At 37.0% G+C, this 21763-nt stretch overlaps 1 protein-coding gene and 1 long non-coding RNA gene across 2 annotated transcripts in view; one reads left to right on the top strand and one right to left on the bottom strand.

Moving 5' to 3' along the window:
• Window positions 1–21763, bottom strand: part of CPQ (carboxypeptidase Q) — a 498260-nt gene that overhangs the window by 165578 nt on the left and 310919 nt on the right. The window contains exon 5 of the mRNA NM_016134.4: window positions 11878–11989. Within this exon, the coding sequence (NP_057218.1) occupies window positions 11878–11989 (112 nt within the window). The remainder of the gene's footprint in view (window positions 1–11877; window positions 11990–21763) is intronic.
• The window catches only part of LOC101927066 (uncharacterized), a 494634-nt gene that overhangs the window by 468574 nt on the left and 4297 nt on the right, over window positions 1–21763 (top strand). The gene's annotated exons all lie outside the window — the stretch shown is intronic.

Below are 21763 nucleotides of genomic sequence, written 5' to 3'. Positions count from 1 at the left end.
ATTTAGTGGTAATTTCTGAGATTCTGGTGCACTCATCAACTGAGAAGTATACACTGCACCCAATGTGCAGTCTTTTATCCTTTGCTGTCCCCCATCCTTTCCCTTGAGTCCCCAAAGTCCAATGTATCATTCTTATGCATTTGCATCCTCATAGCTTAGCTCCCACATGTGGATGAGAACATACGATGTTTGATTTTCCATTCCTGAGTTAATTCATTTAGAATGATGGTCTGCAATTACATCCAGGTTGCTGTGAATGCCATTATTTTGTTCCTTTTTGTGGCTGAGTAATATTCCATGATATATATATACCCATCATTGATTGATGGTCATTTGGGCTGCTTCCATGGTTTTGCAATTGCAAATCATGCTGCTATAAACATGAGTGGGCAAGCATCTTTTTCATATACTGACTTCTTTTCCTCTGGGTAGATACCTAGTAGTGAGATGGCTGGATTAAATGTAGATCTGCTTTCAGTTCTTTAAAGATTATCCACACTGTTTTCCGCAGTGCTTGTACCAGTTTACATTCCCACCATCAGTGTAAAAGTGTTCCCTTTTTACTGCATCCCTGCCAACATCTATTTTTTTTTTTTTTTGATTACGGATATTCTTGCAGGTGTGAGGTGGTATTGCATTGTGTTTTTGATTTGCATTTCCCTCATTATTAGTGATGTTGAGCATTCTTCCATACGCTTGTTGGCCATTTGTATATCTTCTTTTGAGAATTGTCTATTCATGTCCTTAGCCCTTTTTTGATGGGATTATTTGTTATTCTCTTGCTTATTTGAGTTCTTAGATTCTGGATATTAGTCCTTTGTAAGATGTATAGATTGTAAAGATTTTCTCCCACTCTGTGGTTATCTGTTAACTCTGCTGATGATTTCTTTTGTTGTGCAGAAGCTTTTTAGTTTAATTGAGTCCCATATGTCTATCTTTGTTTTTGTTGCATTTGCTTTTGGGTTCCTGGTCATGAAGTCTTTGCCTAAGCCAATGTCTAGAAGACTTTTTCCAATTTTATCTTCTAGAATCTGTGTGGTTTCAGGTCTTAGATTTAAGTTTTTGTTCCATCTTGAGTTAATTTTTATGTAAGGTAAGAGATGAGGATCCAGTTTCATTCTCCTACATGTGGCTTGCCAATTATCCCAGCACCATTTATTGAATAGGCGTCTTTTCTCCACTTTATGTTTTTGTTTGCTTTGTCAAAGATCAGTTGGCTGTAAGTATTTGGCTTTATTTCTGGGTTCTTTCTTCTCTTCCATTGGTCTATATGCCTATTTTTATACCAGTACCATGCTGTTTTGGTGTCTAAGGCCTTATAGTTTAGTTTGAAGTAGGGTAATGTGATGCTTCCAGATTTGTTCTTTTTGCTTGGTCTTGCTTTGGCTATGCGGGCTCTTTTTTGGTTCCATATTAATTTTAGGATGTTTTTTCTACTTCTTGAAGAATGATGGTGGTATTTTGATGGGAATTGCAATGAATTTGTAGATTGCTTTTGGCAGTATGGTCATTTTCATAATATTGATGCTACCCATCCATGAGCATGGGATGTGTTTCCATTTGCTTGTGTCATCTATGATTTCTTTCAGCAGAGCTTTTTAGTTTTACTCGTAGAGGTCTTTCACGTCCTTGGTTAGGTATAATCCTAAGGTTTTTTTTTTTTTTTTTTTTTTTTTGTCAGCTATTGTGAAAGGGGTTGAGTTCTTAATTTGATTCTCAGCTTGGTTGCTGTTGGTATATAGAAGAGCTAGTGATTTGTGTACATTAATTTTGTATCCTGAACCTTTGCTGAATTCATTTGCTAGTTTTAGGAGCTTTTTGGATGAGTCTTTAGGGTTTTCTACATATACAATCATATCATCAGCAAACAGTGACAGTTTGACTTCCTCTTTACTGATTGGGATGCACTTGATATCTTTTTCTTGTCTGATGACTCTAGCTAGGACTTCCAATTCTATGTTGAATAGAAGTGGTGAAAATGGGAATCCTTGTCTTGTTCCAGTTCTCAGGGGGAATGCTTTCAACTTTCCCTATTCAGTATAATGTTATCTGTTTGTTGTAGATGGCTATTATTACCTCAAGGTATGTCCCTTCTATGCCAATTTTGCTCAGGGTTTTAATCATAAAGCGATGCTGGATTTTGTCAAATGCTTCTTCTGCATCTATTAAGATGATCATGTGATTTTTGTTTTTAATTCTGTTTATGTGATGTATCATATTTATTGACTTATGTCTCTTAAATCAACCCTGCATCCCTAGTATGAAACCCACTTGATCATGGTGAAGTATCTTTTTGATATGCTGTTGGATTCAGTTTGCTAGTATTTTGTTGAGGATTTTAGCATCTACGTTCATCAGGGATATTGGTCTGTAGTTTTCTCTCTCTCTCTCTTTTTTTTTTGTTATGTCCTCCCTTGGTTTTGGTATTAGGGTGATACTGGCTTCATAGAATGAGTTAGGGATGATTCTCTATTTCCTTATCCTTTGAAATAGTAGAATTGGTACCAGTTCTTTTTTGAACATCTGATAGAATTCAGCCATGAATCTATCTGGTCCTGGAATTTTTTTGTTTGGAATTTTTTTTAATTACCATTTCAATCTCACTGCCTGTTCAGAGATTCTGTATCTTCTTGGTTTAATCTAGGAGGATTGTATACTTTCAATATATCCATCTCCTCTAGATTTTCTAGTTTATGTGTGTAAAGGTGTTCACAGTATCCTTGAATAATCTTTTGTATTTCTGTGGTACCAGTTGTAATATCTCCCATTTCATTTCTAATTGAGCATATTTGTATCTTCTCTCTTCTTTTCTTGGTTAATCTCGTTGGTCTATCTGTTTCATTTATCTTTTCAAAGAACCAGCTTTTGTTTCATTTATCTTTTTTCTTTTTAAATTTCATTTAGTTCTGCTCTGATCTTCGTCATTTTCTTCTGCTGGGTTTGGGTTTCGATTGTTCTTGTTTCTCCAGCTCCATGAGGCATGACCTTAGGTTGTCTATTGGTTCTCTTTCAGATTTTTGGTTTAGGCATTTAATGCTATGAACTTTCCTCTTAGCACCAGTTTTGCTGTATCCCAGAGGTTTTGATAGGCTGCGTCACTATTATTATTCAGTTCAAAAAATTTTTAAATTTCCATCTTGATTTCATTGTTGACCCAATGATCATTCAAGAACAGATTATTTAATTTCCATGTATTTACATGGTTTTAAGGGTTCCTCTTGGAGTTGATTTCGAATTTTATTCCACTGTGGTCTGAGAAAGTACTAGATATAATTTTGATTTTCTTAAATTTACTGAGACTTGTTTTGTGGCCTATCATATGGTCTAGGAGAATGTTCCATGTGCTGATGAATAGAATGTATATTCTGCAGTTGCTGGGTAGAATGTCATGTAAATATCTGTTAAGTTCACTTGTAGGGTATCATTTAGGTAGAGTTTTTCTTTGTTGACTTTCTGTCTTGATGACCTGTTTAGTGCTATCAGTGGTGTATTAAAGTCCCCCATATTATTGTGTTGCTGTCTATCTCACTACTTAGGTCTAATAGTAATTGTTTCATAAATTTGGGATCTCCAGTGTTAGGTGCATATATATTTAGAATTGTGATATTTTCCTGTTGGACTAGTCCTTTTATCATTATATAATGTCTCTCTTCATCTTTTTAAACTGCTGTTGATTTAAAGTTTGTTTTTTCTGGTATAAGAATAGCTACACCTGCTCGCTTTTGGTGTCCATTTGCATGGAGTATCTTTTTCCACCCCTTCATCTTAAGTTTACGTGAGTCCTTATGTGTGAGAGTAGTCTCCTGAAGACAGCAGAAACTTGGTTGGTGCATTCTTATCCATTCTGTCATTCTGTTATCTTTTAAGTGGAGAATTTAGGCCATTTACAATCAATGTTAGTATTGACATGTGAGGTACTATTTTATTCATCATGCTATTTGTTGCCTGATTACCTTTTTTTCCACTGTGTTATTGTTCTGTAGTTTCTGTGAGATTTATGCTTTAAGGAGATTCTATTTTGGTATATTTCAAGGATTTGTTTCAAGATTTAGAGCTCCTTTTAGCAGTTTTTGTAGTACTGGCTCGGTAGTGGTGAATTCTCTCAGCATTTGTTTGTCTGGAAAAGACTATCTTTCCTTCATTTATGAAGCTTAGTTTTGCTGGATACAAAATTCTTGGCTGATAATTGTTTTGTTTAAGGAGGCTAAAAAGAGGACCCCAATCCCATCTAGCTGGTAGGGTTTCTGCTGAGAAATCTGCTGTTAATCTGATGGGGTTTTCCCTTTATAGGTTACCTGATGCTTTTGCCTCAGAGCTCTTAAGATTCCTTCCTTTATCTTGACTTTAGTTAACCTGATGACTATGTGCCTAGGTGATGATCTTTTGGCAATGAATTTCCCAGGAGTTCTTTGAGTTTCTTGTATTTGGATGTCTAGATCTCTAGGAAGGCCAGGGAAGTTTTCCTTGATGATTCTAACAAATATGTTTTTCAGACTTTTAGATTTCTCTTCTTCCTTGAGAACGCCGATTATTTTTAGGTTTGGATGTTTAACATAATCCCAAACTTCTTGGAGGCTTTGTTCAATTTTTTCATTCTTTTTTCTTTGTCTTTGACAGATTAGGTTAATTTGAAAGCCTTGTCTTTGAACTCTGAATTTCTTTCTTCTGCTTGTTCCATTCCATTGCTGAGACTTTCCAGTGCATTTTGCATTTCTTGCCTTCTAGAAGTTGTGATTGTTTTACATTTATGCTGTCTATTTCACTGAAGACTTTTTGTTTCATATCCCATAATTTTTATTTCTTTTAGTTGGACTTCACCTTTCTCTGGTGCCTCCTTGATTAACTTAATAATCAACTTTCTGAATTCTATTTCTGGCAATTTGGAGATTTCATCTTGGTTTGGATCCATTGCTGGTGAACTGGTATCATCTTTTGGGGGATGTAAAAGAAACTTGTTTTCTCATATTACCCAGATGTTTTTCTGGTTCCTTCTCATTTGGGTAGACTAGGTCAGAGGGAAGGTCTGGGATTCAGGGCTGCTAATCAGATTCTTTTGTCCCACGGGATGCTCCCTTGATGTGATGTTCTTTCCCTTCCCCTAGGAATGGGGCTTCCTGAGAGCTGAACTGTAGTGATTGTTTTTGCTCTTCTGGGTCTAGCCACCCAGAGGAGCTACTGGGCTTCAGGCTGGTACTGGAGAGTGTCTGCAAAGAGTCCTGTGATGTGATCTGTCTTCAGGTCTTGCAGCCATGGATGCCAGCACCTGCTCTGATGGAATTAGCAGGGGAGTGAAGTCGTCTCTGCGAGGGTCCTTGGTTGTGTTTTTGTTTAGAGTGTTGGTTTTGTGTTGGTTGGCCTCCAGCCAGGAGGTGGCACTGACAAGAGTGTATCAGCTGTGTTCCTAGTTGCCCTAGGAACACTTGGTTAAGTGGTTTCTCAGGTGATAGGTAGGGCCATAGAGCTCCCAAAAGATTATGACCTTTGTCTTTGGCTACCAGGGCAGGTAGAGAAAGACTACCAGGTGGGGGAAGGGGTAAGCATGTCTGAGTTCAGCCTCTCCTTTGGCAGGGCTTGCTGCAGCTGCTGTGGGCTATGAGGGTGTGGATCCCAGTCCAATGGAGTTATATTCCCAGGGGGATTATGGCTGTCTCTACTGAGTCATACAAGTTGCCAGGGAGGTGGAGGAAAGCTGGCAGTCACAGGCCTTACCCTGCTCCCATGCAGCCTGCAATCCTGAAGGCCGGTCTCACTCCCACAGTGCCCCCATAACAGCACTGAATCTATTTCCAGGCAACAGGTAACTAGGGCTGAGAACTTGCCCCAGACCAAGAGCCTCTCCTTTGAGAAAGCAAACAGACTCATAGTTTTTTTTGGCATCTCAGGAAGCCTGCAGTGGTGATCCAGTTCCTTCAAAGGGTCTGTGGATTCTCTTGGCTTTCCTGATATGTTCTTGAGGTAGTTCTTAGAGCAAAAGTTCACTATGTGAGTCTCCAAACACTGCTCTGTCTGTTCGAATGGGAGCTGCAAACTAGTCCTGCCTCCTATCTGCCATTTTAATCCTTCTTCACAATTTCTTCAAGTTTCTAATTCTTCTACTGGTTTAGGTACTTTCATCGATAAGTGCAATTATAAAACATCAAGACCAAAATTCAGAACCAAAGAAGCAAGCAGCATCTACGCATTAACATTTAAATTAATAAAAATAAAATTTAATGTTGGGGGAAATATTTAAGACTTAAAACACAGCTTCAGACTGGACAGCTTCACAAGCAGATGTATTATTCACTAAACATATTGAGGACCAGTGATTTTAATAGGATACCTTTCCCAGGGCCATTAGTCTCCCTTCCTTTGTTCCCAAATAATTGTGCAGAAAGCGTATCCAACATGGCAATAGGGAGAGTTCATGGAATGTTTTAAAATAAAAATTCCTTCTAGAAAATAAAAATCTTACAAATTCTGATTCATCTGGGGCCATGAAAAACCTGATAGAGTCATTAGCATATTTCAAATATTTCCAATAATACTACGTTCATTTTGAAAAAATAGACTCAGATAGTGTGGATAAAAAGTTAGTTGTCAGCTAGAGTTTGCACTTGGGTGGATACAAATGTTCTTCAGGGAGAGACACAACAATAGGCTCTATCATGCCAATTAAGGAATCATCATATGGTTCTAGCTTGTCAATATTCTGGCAATCTCAGGCTCCCAAAGGTAGCCTAGAAAATCTAGAATGAAAACAAATCCAAGGCTATTTGTACTCACTTCCAGAAGTGCATCTGTGTAAGGATTCTTGTATCCTTACTCAGTTCTGCCACCTCAAAAAATGCCGCAGGGCATTGTGTTCCAAAGTACGCTATACCCACGGAGTGAATACTCTCCCAACAAATGTTATTTACAAATAAAGAAATTACCAAGAGGGAGTTCCCAAACTTATCTGACCATAGGACACTTTTCCCCCCTTTCTTTATAATATCTCTTTTTATCCTGAGGATGAGTGTTCCTAGAAACAGACTGGCAGTGTTTTTCCATTAAAACAATATTATAAAGTACTTAAGAGTGGCCGGGCGCGGTGGCTCACGCCTGTAATCCCAGCACTTTGGGAGGCCGAGGCGGGCGGATCACGAGGTCAGGAGATAGAGACCATCCTGGCTAACACGGTGAAACCCCGTCTCTACTAAAAATACAAAAAATTAGCCGGGCGTGGTAGCGGGCGCCTGTAGTCCCAGCTACTCGTGAGGCTGAGGCAGGAGAATGGCGTGAACCCGGGAGGCGGAGCTTGCAGTGAGCCGAGATCGCACCACTGCACTCCAGCCTGGGCGACAGAGCGAGACTCCGTCTCAAAAAAAAAAAAAAAAGAGTGTTGGGCATGGCGTCAGGCTGCCTAGATTTAAATTTTTCACATAATAGCTGGTGATCTTGGGCAAGGTACTTAGCTTTTCTCTGCTTTGGTTTCCTCTTCTGTAAAATGAATATAACACGAGTTACCTACTGCTTGGGTTTATTTTCAGGAATAAAGGAGAATATGTACTCAGTGGAGTGCTTAGCACAATGCTTACAATAGTAATCTTCAGTCAATGCTAGCTCTCAATATTTTTATTATACCCAGCGGTATGGCTAAACCCAGTGGGGAGGTCCTTTCCAAAGGAGATATCTTTTGTAGGTCTGGGCTAGTCCCAGATTCGTTTCAGGACACCAGCCATCTCTAGCTCTACCCTTTAGGCTTCCATTTCACTGGAGGCTGTTCATTTTCTTCTCTGTTACTCTGAATTACATTTCCTGGGGCTTTTCCAAGACAGTCTTGACCAGAGCCTTAGGGAAGAAAACCTTCTTCCCAGATGGGTCCCCATTTCTAAGAGAGAACCCACTGCATTGGAAATGGCTGCATAAGGCTCTAGCTACAGTGGAACTTGCATCAAAGCCCTGGCATGCCTTTGGCTGTCTTCATGGTTGTATTCTGGGCCAGGGAGGCTTGGTGACTCCTGGACAACTCTTCCAACTCCTTACCTCTGCTGTGTTGTTTCTGTTAACAGGGTGTTTATGATAATGACAATACCAAAACTCTTTCTTTTCTTTTTAATTTCTTTTTTGGGAGTAGGGGTAGAGGAGTATTTGATAGCTTTTTCTTGATTACTGAAGTAACACATACTTATTACACAAAAATCTAACATTATACAAATATATCAGGTAAAAAGTGAACCTCTCCTGTAATTCCACAACTCCTGTCTCCCCCTATAATCCCAAGACTGCTACTGTCAACAATTTTCTTCTCATTTTTAATGACACACAGAACTGGAAGCTCTGTACTCTGCTGGGAATACTTCATTCTGCACTGTTCATCTCAGGAATTTCTATTTATCTTTATGAAAGAAAGTTCAAATAACATCTTAGTGAAGTTGCTCTGACCCAGCCAAGCCATGTTGGTCTGTTTCTTTACCAGGTGCCCAAAGTAATTTGTACATCCTACATTCAGAGAACTTACCACAATTTCATTGCAATTTTTGAATTAAATGTCTCTCCTACTTCAAGGACTTAAAGGGCCATTTCTCTTTCCTCTTTAGTGCAAGGCATCTGATACATGAACCAGCAGTCAATGCACAAGTATTTGTTGAGTGAATGAATGAAGAAACATACCAATAAAATATTTTTCTAAGACATAGACTTTCAAGCTCTATAGTAATCACAGTCAGGAGGCTCAACATTTACATTTTTTCTGGAAAAATGTTTCTTATATATTCCACATTCCAACAACCAGGTAATACTGTTAATTCTCATATCTTTCATTTCTTTAGACCTGGAAACTCAAAATTCTAACTTCATAGAAAATGATACAGTTGGAAGAATTTGGGATGGATGGTAGTTTATTTTCTAAGTGCCAAATGAGCATTTTGGAGCATCATTGGCCATAGGCTTTGTCCACTGACACCAGAACATTCCAGAAAATAACATTTCAAATAAACAGTTTCAAGTCCAGTAAACCACAGACACAGAAAAGTATTCAACGACGCTTCACAGCAAACAGCCTTCTGTAGACAGTTACTCGGGAAAGACTGATTATATTTACAAAGCACAAATAACTCTTCTGTTAGATTAATTGAATATAATTTAAGCTGAAGGCTTGAGCAAAAAAGTGAATCTATAAGAGTGGTGAGAGGGGAAGACAAAGAAGAAGATACCAGAAGGATGAATCTTAGAAAAATATTTCCAAATATCAGAGATCCCCACTGGACCAGCTCTTCAAGTTAACACGCTCCACTGAGGGACTCTGACATGCTGCATGACACATCATCCAAGGAATAGCATCCAAAAGGAGTCTCATTTTTCTTGGAAAAAGAGATTGCCACAGAGCTTTCACATTTTACCAATTAAACAGATTGGATTCCATGTAATTAAGTAATATAATTATGAACCTATTTCTTGGCCTCAAGCCCAAGGGCATATTTCTAGTTCAAGTATATCAGCAATTTTCATCCAGAATTCATACACATCACATGCTGAACCTAGCTCTTCATGTTAAAATACATAGGCAATCTACAAATAGAAATCCACAATTTCAAAATTAAAGAGTAAGACTCAATGGGTGCAATCATGGAAAGTGAGGTGCAGAGTAGATACTGGGCATTAAACATAAGCAGGATATAGAAGTAACCAGGAGAAATTTAAGACTTCTAAAAATTTAGTGTGAAATGAAAAAAAGTGGAGGGGTCACTGGGTTTCTATCATACAAGGGATGGTGACTTAAGTAGTAAAGGGAAAGGATATTTTAGGGATACATAGCAACTGGCCCTAAAGTTACATTAGTATAGCTAATATACTAAAAGTTAGGAGGCAAAGCAATCACTAATGGGGATGGAGGTAAACTAAATTATCATCTTCTCTTATATTAAAAAAATGGTACTGTCAGAATCATGCTTATTAAGTTAAGTTATAAAAGTTAACATTTATTGATAACTTGGGTTGGGCCAGCCCATGTTCTAAGTATACTCTGCTTATTTAATTTTCAAAGCAACTTTATGAGATAGGAACTATTATTATCCCATTTCACAGATGAGAAAATTGAGGCACAGAGAGGCAAAGTAACTTGCCTAAGGCCACACACCTAGCAGACTGCAGAGCTGAGATTTGAACCCTGGCAGTCTGGCTCCAGAATCCTATGTTTTTAACAGTATACTATGGTGCCTCATAATGCCTACTCAAAAGAAATATTACTCTTTATTTTAGAGTTCTATTCATATCTTTACATAGACTTTCAGAAATCTTTTGGAGATTTAAGTCCCAAATTAAAGAGACTGGTCACTAGCTATCAAAAGCAACTGAAGTCGATGTACTTTGAGAACTGGTAAAAGATACTCAATTCACTTTTGCATGGTATTTAACATTTGTCCATGCAACTGAATTCAATTCAATTAACAGTGATTTAGGGTCCCATGCTGAATACCGAAGAAGTAAGATTCAAAGCTTAAAGAAGATACAATTTTTATTCCAATCTAGAGCAAATGAAATACTCTGAAGCTTACAGTTTAATAGAGATGAGAAAAATGAAGTCCAGAGCATTCAAATGACTTGCTTAAGGACCAAAATATAGTAAAGTGACCTAAAGTCCAATTCAAATGGGTCTAAAGAAAATTTCTCTTTTTACTCCACCACTGTGCTTCCAATCAAGCTGATTGAACATACTGAAATAAAATTAATGTCCAAAATCATTATCGGTGATTTTTGAAGAGGAAAAATGTTCGACTTTTTCCTGCTTTCCTCTAGAACCCACTTCTTTCTGGAATGATATGAGAAACAGAAAGAAGAGATAGCCAAGGGAATATTTTTAAGAGAAGAGGAGGAGAGAATTAACATAGCGTCTCCCAGATTTTCTGTGAAGGAATGTGTGATTTTCAGTTTTATTTGCTGGATAACTTCTCTCTCAAACCTTCCCCAATTCTAAAATTAGATGTTGAAATTATGTCTATATTGATAACTATGTGTGTATGTATGTGTGAAGGTTACCCACTCCATTCTAAGAGTCTTAAGAACAGGGGACATCCTTTAAACCTATATGCCCAGCTTTTACAAAGTGCTTTATAAAAAGCAAAGTAGGTGGTCAAAATATTTTCTGTCATGTATGGTAATTATGGTAAAAGTGTATATACAATGTAAGATTTCCAATTAGTTTGTTTTCTTTAACAAAATGACCCTGTATTCAGGTTACCTAGATATTTTTATTAGTTTATATTAGTGGTTCTCAAAATGGGGCAACTGCTTCCCTGGCCCCCCAGGGGACATCTGGCAATGTCTGGAGACATTTTTGTTATCATAACTTGAGGTTAGGGGAGGGTGCTACTGGCTTCTAGTGGGAAGAGGTCAGGGATGCTGCAAAACATCCTATCATGCATGGGACAGACCTTGCAACAAAGAATTATCTGCCTGGATTCCTTATTGTGGCTATGGAAATCATTCTTTCTATCTAGGTTACTCTTTTATTTCTATGATGGAAAGACGACCAGCCTTTATCCATTGTCCTAATAGTCTGATAATGTGTTAAGATGAATAAGGGAAAGGAAGTAGGAGGTGCTGCTGATTTTTCTTTGCATTTCATCATATTTTCCTTGCATATTCTTTAGCTGGTGTGGTTACATTTGCTTCAGTTTTATTTGCTTGTTCATTTTCCCCAGTGGCTGATAATAACATTTGACACTTTAGATGTCTGGCGTACACATGAATAAAAATTTCTTTAAGAGCATAAGTTGTTTCTTTTCTGGGAATCAACTGACCTCAAGAGGATCTTTGAACATACCATAGTAACTAATCTGTTAAGTATTTTGTGTTTTGAGTTAAACATGTCACTGAGATCCTCACACATTAGTTAACAATTTTCTAAATATTTACCAAGATCTTTAATAAGTGAGAGTGCTTCCCATGATATAAAGGCTCCACCGCCATCATCCATGGCACCCTGCCCAACATCCCAGCTGTCCAGATGTCCACTGACCAGTACAACCTAGAACAAATAATAAAAAGTTAAAAAATAAAACTAAGCAAAAATGACATCAAAGAGTAAACATTTATAGGTATTCAAAATATAAAAATGAAACTTTTATATTTTCTTTCCTATTTTTATGTCTTTAAAGATATGTGTCATTATTAGTGGAAAACTTGGTATTGAGGAATTGTATAAGGGGTCTAAGTCTATCCTAATAGTAATAAAAATCCTCACTTTGTACCTTTCTTTATTAATATAATTTTGACTACTAAAGAAATTGGCTTGGCCGGGTGCGGTGGCTCACGCCTCTAATCCCAGCACTTTGGGAGGCCGAGGCGGGTGGATCACGAGGTCAGGAGATCAAGACCATCCTGGTTAACACGGTGAAACCCTGTCTCTACTAAAAATACAAAAAATTAGCTGGGTGTGGTGGCAGGCGCCTGTAGTCCCAGCTACTTGGGAGGCTGAGGCAGGAGAATGGTGTGAACTCGGGAGGTGGAGCTTGCAGTGAGCTGAGATTGCGCCACTGCACTCCGGGGTGGCAGAGCAAGACTCCATCTCAAAAAAAAAAAAAAAAAAAGAAAAGAAATTGGCTTATTACTGACAGATATTTGATAAATTTATTATATGGCTTAAAACCTAAAGGATATAAAAATGAAGCTTGAAACTTCAACCACATTCGTAACTGTCCCAAATTCTAGAAGAAACGTAATAAACATGTGTTGAATTGATTTAAATGAGAAAATGAGAACAATAATTTATTTAAAAAATTGTTTTATGCATTATAGATTGATGTTGAATAAATAAATAGCTGGATTTCAAAACTAGATCCAATTGAACAGGAGAACTTTTAAGGGAAATTTCAACTGACATTAGTATTAAATAAATCTAGAAATTATATTACACATTTGAAATCATCACAGGTTTAAAATTCTTCTTAGGAAATATTAGTAATTATAAGAAAATATTTAAAAATTCACTGAAACTAAATTTTGTGGACACATTTCAAACAAGTTATAAACCAAGTAAAGTGATGCTGGGGTATATAGAATATTGGTTTGAAAAAAAATGTATCTTGATCATTATAAAACATACAAATATGTAGTCAGATGAATTACATATCTAAACACAGATTTTAGAGGAAGGCATAGAATAACTTCACCAATTTGGAGTAGGCAAAGATATCTTAAACTGGACACAAAAATTATAAGCCATAAAAGAAAAAAATAATAAATTACATTTTGAGTTAAACATGTCACTACTGAGATCCTCACACATTGGTTAACAATTTTCTAAATATTTACTAAGATCTTTAATATGTGAGAGTGTTTTTTTTTAAACTAGGAAAGCTAGTCATCAAAAGACCCCACTAAGAGAGTGAAAAGGTAACCCACGGAAAAACAGAAAATATTCAGCATATATATATATGTATATGAACAGACAATTCACAAAGAAAGATATGCAAATTACTAATAATCATAAAAACGATACTCAGCTTCATTATCATTAGGGAAATATAAATTAAACCACATTCAATACATATTGAACCAGATGGCTAAAATGAAAAAGACAAAATATGCCAAATATTGGTGAGGAGGTAGAGCAACTGGAACTCTTGTACATTGCTAGTGTAAGTACATTCAACCACCTGGAAAAACTGGCTTATCTATTAAATCTGAACATACACAAAACTATGACCCAGCAATGCTACTCCTCGTTATATATCCAACAGGATGTGTGTGTGTGTGTGTGTGTGTGTGTGTGTGTGTGTGTGTGTGTATACTTTAACCAAAAAAGATGTACTGGAATGTTCATAACAGAGTATTCATAATAGGCCTAACCCTTCTAAAAAAAAAAAAAGAAAGAAAACTCATGAAATGTCTGCTGACAATAGAATGAATAAACTGTGTTGTATTTATCAATAGGACACTCCATAGCAATAATATAGAAATGGAAAATGAAAAAACACAATTCATGATAAAATTGTATGAGTCTCATAAACATAATGAAGAATGAAAGAAGCCAGATACAAAATAACACATGATGTATAAATCCATTTATATAAAGTATAAAAACACGCAAAACAGGAGAGTGATTACTCTTGGTGAGGAGGGTTTGTGACAAAAAGGGGGTAGAGGAAACCTTTTGGGGTGCTGGTCATGTTCTGTTTTCTGATCTGGGTAGCAGTTACACAGGTGTACTCAGTTTGTAAAAGTTCACCATATACACTTAGGATTCGTGCACTTTCTCTGAGAATATTATACTTCAATATAATTTTTTTAGAAGTTTTACAGATTGATATGTATGTGCAACATGTACTAAGTAAACCAAAGTTGAACCAATCTTCTTGATGATTAAAATAAAAATTACCCATGACTTTGGGAAAGCAGGACTTTGGGGTTAAAATATTAGGGTGACCCTTTGCACTGAATGATTCACTGAGCAGCTGCACGATCTCCCACTGACTTACATACGGACCCAGTCTAGTATGACTTCATTGTAGTTACAAACAAGCACAATCCCCCAAACTAACAAATGGCTATGTAATGAACCCAAATGGATTGTTTCTAAGAGGGAAAAATAAAAAATAAAGAATAATTCATGTTGCAATAGCAGGAACTTCTGATTCAGAAAGTAGTGGTGTAATCCCATGTGGGACAAACAGCCCAATTAGTCAACATTCTTATGACTCTCAGAACATTTTCTCAGTGACGTTCCAGTGGATTAAAAGTGTAAAAATGTGCTTCAATAAACTTTTTCTCAGATAATATATAGGAACAACTAAGTCAAGGAAGCTATTATTTTATCCTTCAGATTTCTTTCAGAAAAATTGAAGTTGTTTACGATCATACTTCTTTATGTTTTCTCCATTCTGTAATCTACTTACTGTTACTTAAACTGGTAGTTAAAAAATTGGAAAGATGGTTTTTGAATGATAGGAAACTAAGCGATATCCCATAGGATAAGGTCTTTGGTATAGTGCTATAGAAGAATGATTACATATTCTCTGGATTATGAGAGCTTGTTTTAGTATATTTTTTTAAATCAGAAAAAAAAACTGGGGCAACAATGAAATAGTAGTAGTAATTTTAATATCTATTGATTTAAAACTAGGTAATGACAAAAAGATACTTCTAATTCAGTAGCAATTTGAATGAACTTGAATTTTCCAAATATATGAGCTTCTGCATACACTTAGAAAATAGCAGTGCAGGAGGTTTCACTCAAAATGGAATGTGGCTAGCATTCCTTAATGTTACCTCACAAAAGATAACCCAGAAAAATATACCAATGCACAAGGCTACTGAAAATCTCCCTTATGTCAGGGTCAGGCATAAAAGAACATTAGTTATAATAAACTTGGATCTGAGTTAGACAAACAAACAAAAACAGACTACCCAGAAATGCAGTAAACTGCAGTTTCATGAAAAATATCACCTGATAAATGCTAGGAAAATGCACAGTCCCTTCACTGCCTCTGTTGCCAGATCTGGATTCCTTTGAGCAAAAGCATGGCCTAGAATCAACAGAGAAGTGGGCACCTGCCCATCTACCCCTTGTGTTCTGCATCCTGAGGCACTCAAGGCACTGACCAATTCCTTTCCCCCAACTTCCTTTTCACCATCATCTTTTCCAAATGCAGTATAGAGTAAAAAGTTACTCTGAAAACAACAACAGCAGTAGCAGCTGTAACAAAACAACTAGAAAGGCAGAATGGGAACTCTAGTTCTTTGAAATGTAGGGTTTGTTATTTGCGAGGCAGACTAAATTAGCCCTGACTACCTTGGGAATGAGGGCCTTGGGAATAGGGGAAGAATACACCGCAGTCGAACAGAAATGCACTGGATGAAAGCCTGCTAGGAGAAGGAACCAGAATGACAACGGCATACATCCACCTGCAGGCCAGCTGTAGGTCTGAGAGTGGAGATGGACGAAATCAAAGATGTGCAGACAGCAGCCTGAGGACAAGCCCCTCTGTTACTGGTGCATATGAAGACACTGAGTCCAAATGGATCCACCTGATTATGAGATGAAAATGAGACATATGAAAAATATGGCAGGACTAGGGAGAGGAAATAGCCTCAGAGGATGTGCATTCTTAGGAAAATGAGCTAATGCAAGATACTGAAGAACATTTCACCCTCTCTGGCATTCAGTCATGGTTTCCTTCAACAATTTTTATTGAGTTCCCACTATGTGCTAGAGATACCGAAATGAGTAAAACAAGCAAATATTCTAGCCTTAATTGAATTTAGATTCTGGTGGGAAGATGGAAAATAAATAAACACAATATAATGATAGTTTTAAGTGCAACAGAGAAAAATATCTTTATATCTTCAGTGTGGAGATTTTAAAAATAGAATAAAAATTCAAAGCATGAATAGTAGATGTATAAATTTAACTATCATAAAATGAAGGCTTTATGTTCATCAAGAGAAATCATAGAATGAGAGGAGTTGCTAGAAATTAGAAGAAGACATTTACAATATATATAACTCAAAATGATTTATATTCAAAATGGGTAAAGAATTCTTACAAATCAATAAAAAAGCCAAGCAACCCAAAAAGCAAATAGGCAAAACACATAAAGAGGCATTTCACAGAAAAGAAATTATGAATGACAGCAAGCATTTGAAAAGGTGACCAATTTCATTACCAATCAGGGAAATGTAAATGTAAATTAAATCCTTAATAAGATACCACTTTACAACTATCTGGCAAAAAATTTAAAATCACACAAATGAGATCTTGGCAAGGAGGCTGAGCAATAGGAATTCTTATCCACTCCTGGTAGAAGCAGAAAATTGTTAAAATAATTAAGGGAAAACAATTGGACATATCCTTATAAAGTTGAACATATGGGCATTCCACAATCCAACAATTCCACTCTTGGTGTAAACATTAGAGGAATTCTAATACCAGGAGACATGGACCAAAACGGTCATACAGACACATTCAGAAGTTCTCAAACTGAAAACACACAAATGTCCATCATCAGTAGAATCGATACATTGTGGAATAGTCATACAATGGACTATTACAAAGTAGTAAAGTGAACTGAAAATGACCTAGTGATGCATTATTAAATATAAATGAATCTCAAAACAAAAATAGGCAACAAAAAACAAAAACCCAAAAAAGACAAAAGAAGTAGAAGATTATGATTCTATAATATAAATTTCAACTAAACTAAATAATATAATCTTCAGTAATAATATATACAAAGATGGTATAACTATGAAGAAAAGCAAAGCAATGGTATACCAAAGTTAGCATTGTGTTTATGTCAAATGGGGGTTAGGGCAGAGAGGAGGAGGTGATCAGGTACGGGAACACAGTGACCTTCAAAGACACTGATAGTGTTCTGTTTCTGCAACTCAGTGGTGAGAACATGTGTAATCCTTCCATTACTATTCTCTAGATTGAACATAGATAAATAAAGTCTTCCATATGTGTGATATGTTAAACTATAGCAAGAATTATCAAAAACCTACCTTTGGAAGTCAAGGGGCTCAGACAGTTTTACAAGTGAGTTCAACCAAACATTAGATGTCAGATTGATCTTGTTCTATTTCAACTGTTCTAAAGCAAAGAAAAAGTATAGAAAATATCTACATTTACTTACAAAGCTATCACAATCTTGATATTAAAACCTGACAAAGATAGTGTCCTCCTTATAAACTAACTAGAGATCAAATATAATTGTAAAAATCTGCAATAATTGAATCCAGAAGCATATTAAAAAGTATTAAAATAATGGCCCAGTCATCTTCAAAGGCCCTTGGTAACTAGAAGCCATAATACATCCAATATACTAAGAAAGGGCCACTTTTGAGTCATACTTATTTTCTTGGCATGCTTAGCTTTTAACTCCCTTCATTAAAAATTATGTGAGTTGTATAGATATTCATCTAAACCTGACCACATTCATGTTGGTCAATTGTCAGTAAACAACAGGCCCATCTGACAATAAAGTATGCTTCATTTTACAAATATCTTGCTCAATCAAAAACCAGAAAGACAGCTACTCGGTGTTTTTGGTTTTTTTTTTTTTTTTTTTGCTTTTGTGATTTTTTAAAAATTGCAGCAGCTGTCTTCTCCTAGTCTTAATTTTACTTGGTGTCTTTTAAAAGGTAGCAGGAAAAGTCTTAGGGGTACAAAGTTTGAGGCCTAATGCATTTCCAGACACAGGAAATCCCCAAATTTTCAACAACAAAAATCATTAAATGGTTGAAAAAATATGATGTACCAAAAAAGGAGAAAAAAAAATAACTCATTATTTAGCCTTAGAGAAGAGGCCAAGGAGTGACCTAATAATGGGCTTCAGCTAAGACAGGTCCCACTGTGAAGAATATGAACAGCAAAAGAAAGTGCAAAGGAAGCCAGGCTTGGACTGCAGCAGTGAGCGTTAGGGTCATATAAGCGAGCAAGAAGCTTCTGATGCAGGCTTTTGTTGAAGTTAAAAAAAATGACTAACAGGGGAAAGGTTATGAAAAATTTCCTGCCTTGGAGATTTTCTAAAATAGACTACATTCTGAGGCCTTAGACAGAAAGCTAAAAGAGAAGGGATAAATAAAACCTTCCAAGGTTCCATCTAATACGATATTCCATGCCAGTTTTCAAGAATTCCTCTTCTATTCTAATCATTTTAAAGGAGGTAATGGTCTTTCAAAAAGTCTCTATAATCTCAACAGACTTTTCCCTGAGCACCTCTTTTCTGGCTGTCAAGCATCTTCCTAAAATTTAAAATCTAAACACAGGTGGGCAGGCACTTCTCAAGAAATCCATGTTTTCATAATCCCCACTGGAGACAAAGCCTTGGCTTTCAGAGGGTGGTTGCTGAATGTATTGTGCTATTGCCCAGCACAGACAAAAGGGACTATGTTTGAACAAATATTTTCCTCCCCAATGATTCTGACTAGGTGGTCTACAGAATAAAGCTAAGCTCTTGACATACAGGGTGTGTTCAGAGGCAACACAGCAAACATGTGGGTTCCTCTTGAATTGATTTCTTATCTTCAAGCTTTTTTTTTTTTTTTCAGTGAAGCTGTTGGGTGTTAGCTTGTAGGATACAGAATCCTTTCCCACAAAAATGGGCCATCTGTTCAAATGCTCATGGATCACCCAGCTGGTCCTGAAAAGAGCTGTTTCCACTCTCAGACTATCCCCTCTTACTTGTAAAGGACACTCAGATTAGACTCACAAAAAGGAGATCATGCCTATTCCTGGTTGCATGCTGTGAGCATGTTACTAGACTGATAGCTCAGGATAAAACAAGAAGGACCTAATTTATCTGCGGCGCATGAAAACCAAGCACTAGGTAGATTTATAAAATGTGATTGCAGTGGATTTGCAAGAAATGGCTGGAATTGATTAAACATTGATTTGACAATGATAGGGGAACAGCAGAGAATGTCTATGGAAGGAAACCATTCTCATGAAATGGAGGCAACTGGGTTGCATCCAGAAGTCATGATTTGATGCAACTGGAGATGATCTTAAGTAGAAGAACCATGTATTTGAATTCCTCCTCTATTTAGCCTCAGCAACCACAGTATAAGTTGTCTCATTTGAGAGGACAGGAAGAGTAGAAGAGCTGAATTACAACATTGTATTTGAACTTCCTGAGGTAAGGGAAAAGACACAGAGAGTTTAGGTAACTTCTATGTTAATATTGATCATCTTTCCCATAATCAAATCCAAGCATGGTACAGTGCACAGCTAAAACTTCTCATTCCTTACAACTATTCACTTACCATTATGTCCCAGGCCTTTGTCATGCTAAGTGGGTGGGATTTTAGAAAAGAAGAAGGCCGAGCATGGTGGCTCACACATGTAATCTGAGCACTTTGGGAAGTCAAGGAGGGAGGATCAATTGAGGCCAGGAGTTCAAGACCAGCCTGTACAATGTAGTGAGAACTCATCTCTATTGAAAAAAAAAAATAGCCGGGTGTAGTGGTGCACGTCTATAGTCCCAGCTACTGGAGAGGGGAAGGTGGACTGAGGTAGGAGGATACTTGAGTCCAGAAGACTGTGGCTACAGTGAGCCATGAACACACCACTACACTCCAGTATGTACCACAGAGCCAGATCCTGTCTCCAAAAAAAAAAAAGCATTTGGTACCCTACAGACTTTTTTTTTTTTGTTTTTTTGAGACACAGTTTCACTCAGTCACCCAGGCCGGAGTGCAGAGGTGTGATCTTGGCTCACAGCAACCTCTGTCTCCCAGGTTCAAGTGATTCTCATGCCTCATCCTCCTGAGTAGCTGGGATTACAGGCACGTGCCACCAGGCCTGGCTAATTTTTGTACTCTCAGTAGATACCGGTTTTCACCATGTTGGCCTGGTCTGGAACTCCTGACTTCAAGTGATCTGCCTGCCTCAGCCTCCCAAAGTGCTGAGATTAAAGGCATGAGCCACTGTACCTGGCCTCCTACAGACTCTTTTATGGCTCAGTTTAAACAGGCTAATAGAGATATCATCAATCTTTCATTATAAAAAATGGGAGTCAAGGTGCTTCCTACCAAAAGAAACAGGCTTTAACTTAAATTTTGAACATTTAGATCTATAAGCTGACAGATTCTTCTTGGCCCCTAATGGTTTCTAAAATTCCAGAACCCTATGTAGCTTTGAAAAATACCCAGCCATGATAGTCTGTGCAGTTTAAATGAAAGTTACTCAAAGCATTTCTACCTTAAGCAGTTGGCTCCTGCCTGCCATGTCCCTGGACCACACTGACAATGGGGAGTCAGAAGTCAATCACCTCAAGTTCCAGGACTTTTTAGTGAACTTTAGGGTAGCTGAATGGCTTCCTATGATGATGACACCTGAGAACAACTTTTATTTGGATGCTTAAATTCTAGCTTAAACATAAGACAGTCAAAGAATGTTACAGACATCCCTAAAAGAAGACTTCTCAATGACCTGATTTTCAATGATCTTAAAAATCAGCGCAAGCTGCAGGACAGAGTGTCAAGGAGCCAACTTTACTTTGAAAGGCTCCATGCCTGCACAAGCATCCAGCTTGCTATCCAAGCACAGTACCTCTAGCTTTTAATCCTTTTATCATACTCCACCTCACATAGTATTAGCCCGGTCATCGCAGTTAATAACTCCTGTGTTGAGACTCTAGGAAACAAGCCAAATTTCCATCAGTATATTTTGTTTTAGAAAGGAGATGTTGCAAAAATTAAACATTTCATTTTCTTGCATCCTTGTTTAAAAGAATACTATTATCCCCATTCCCCAATCTTGTCTTATTTTTTATTAGAATTTATATATCTTGGAGGAAAAATGCCAGACTAGACATGTTAACTAGTTTTGTATCTAATATAAACATGATGAGAGCCAAGGAAAAGAATATATGTATTATGTATATATACCTAAAATGAAAAACTCTTCTTTTCCATTTACAATACAATGAATTGAAGTTTAACTTCAATATTCATAGTCAAATGTCACATCTGCAGGAAAAAGAGAATTATCTTAGTTTCCTAAGAATCAAGGGCCACTAATAAGCCAAAATGCTGATTAACCTTATAATGTTTGTGTATCACAACTCAAAAAAAATGGTCCGAAAATGATTTCTTCTAATTCCAAAGCTAACATGAAGCATAATCATGCTTTCCAAAGCACAGAAAACTCATCTTTTGTCCCCATAAAAGTGAACTCCAAGGATAAGGAGTAGGGGGAGCTTGAATGTTATAAAGATAGACCTGCTGGAGAGAACAAATAAAAATTAGCTTAGACTGAAAGTCCATAAGGAATAATTATTTTAAAAACATAACAGAA

This window comes from Homo sapiens, chromosome 8 (assembly GCF_000001405.40).
Source record: "Homo sapiens chromosome 8, GRCh38.p14 Primary Assembly".
In the NCBI taxonomy this organism is placed as follows: domain Eukaryota; kingdom Metazoa; phylum Chordata; class Mammalia; order Primates; family Hominidae; genus Homo; species Homo sapiens.
The sequence above is the reverse complement of the archived record's forward strand: the minus strand, read 5'-3'. Positions and strand labels throughout refer to the sequence as shown.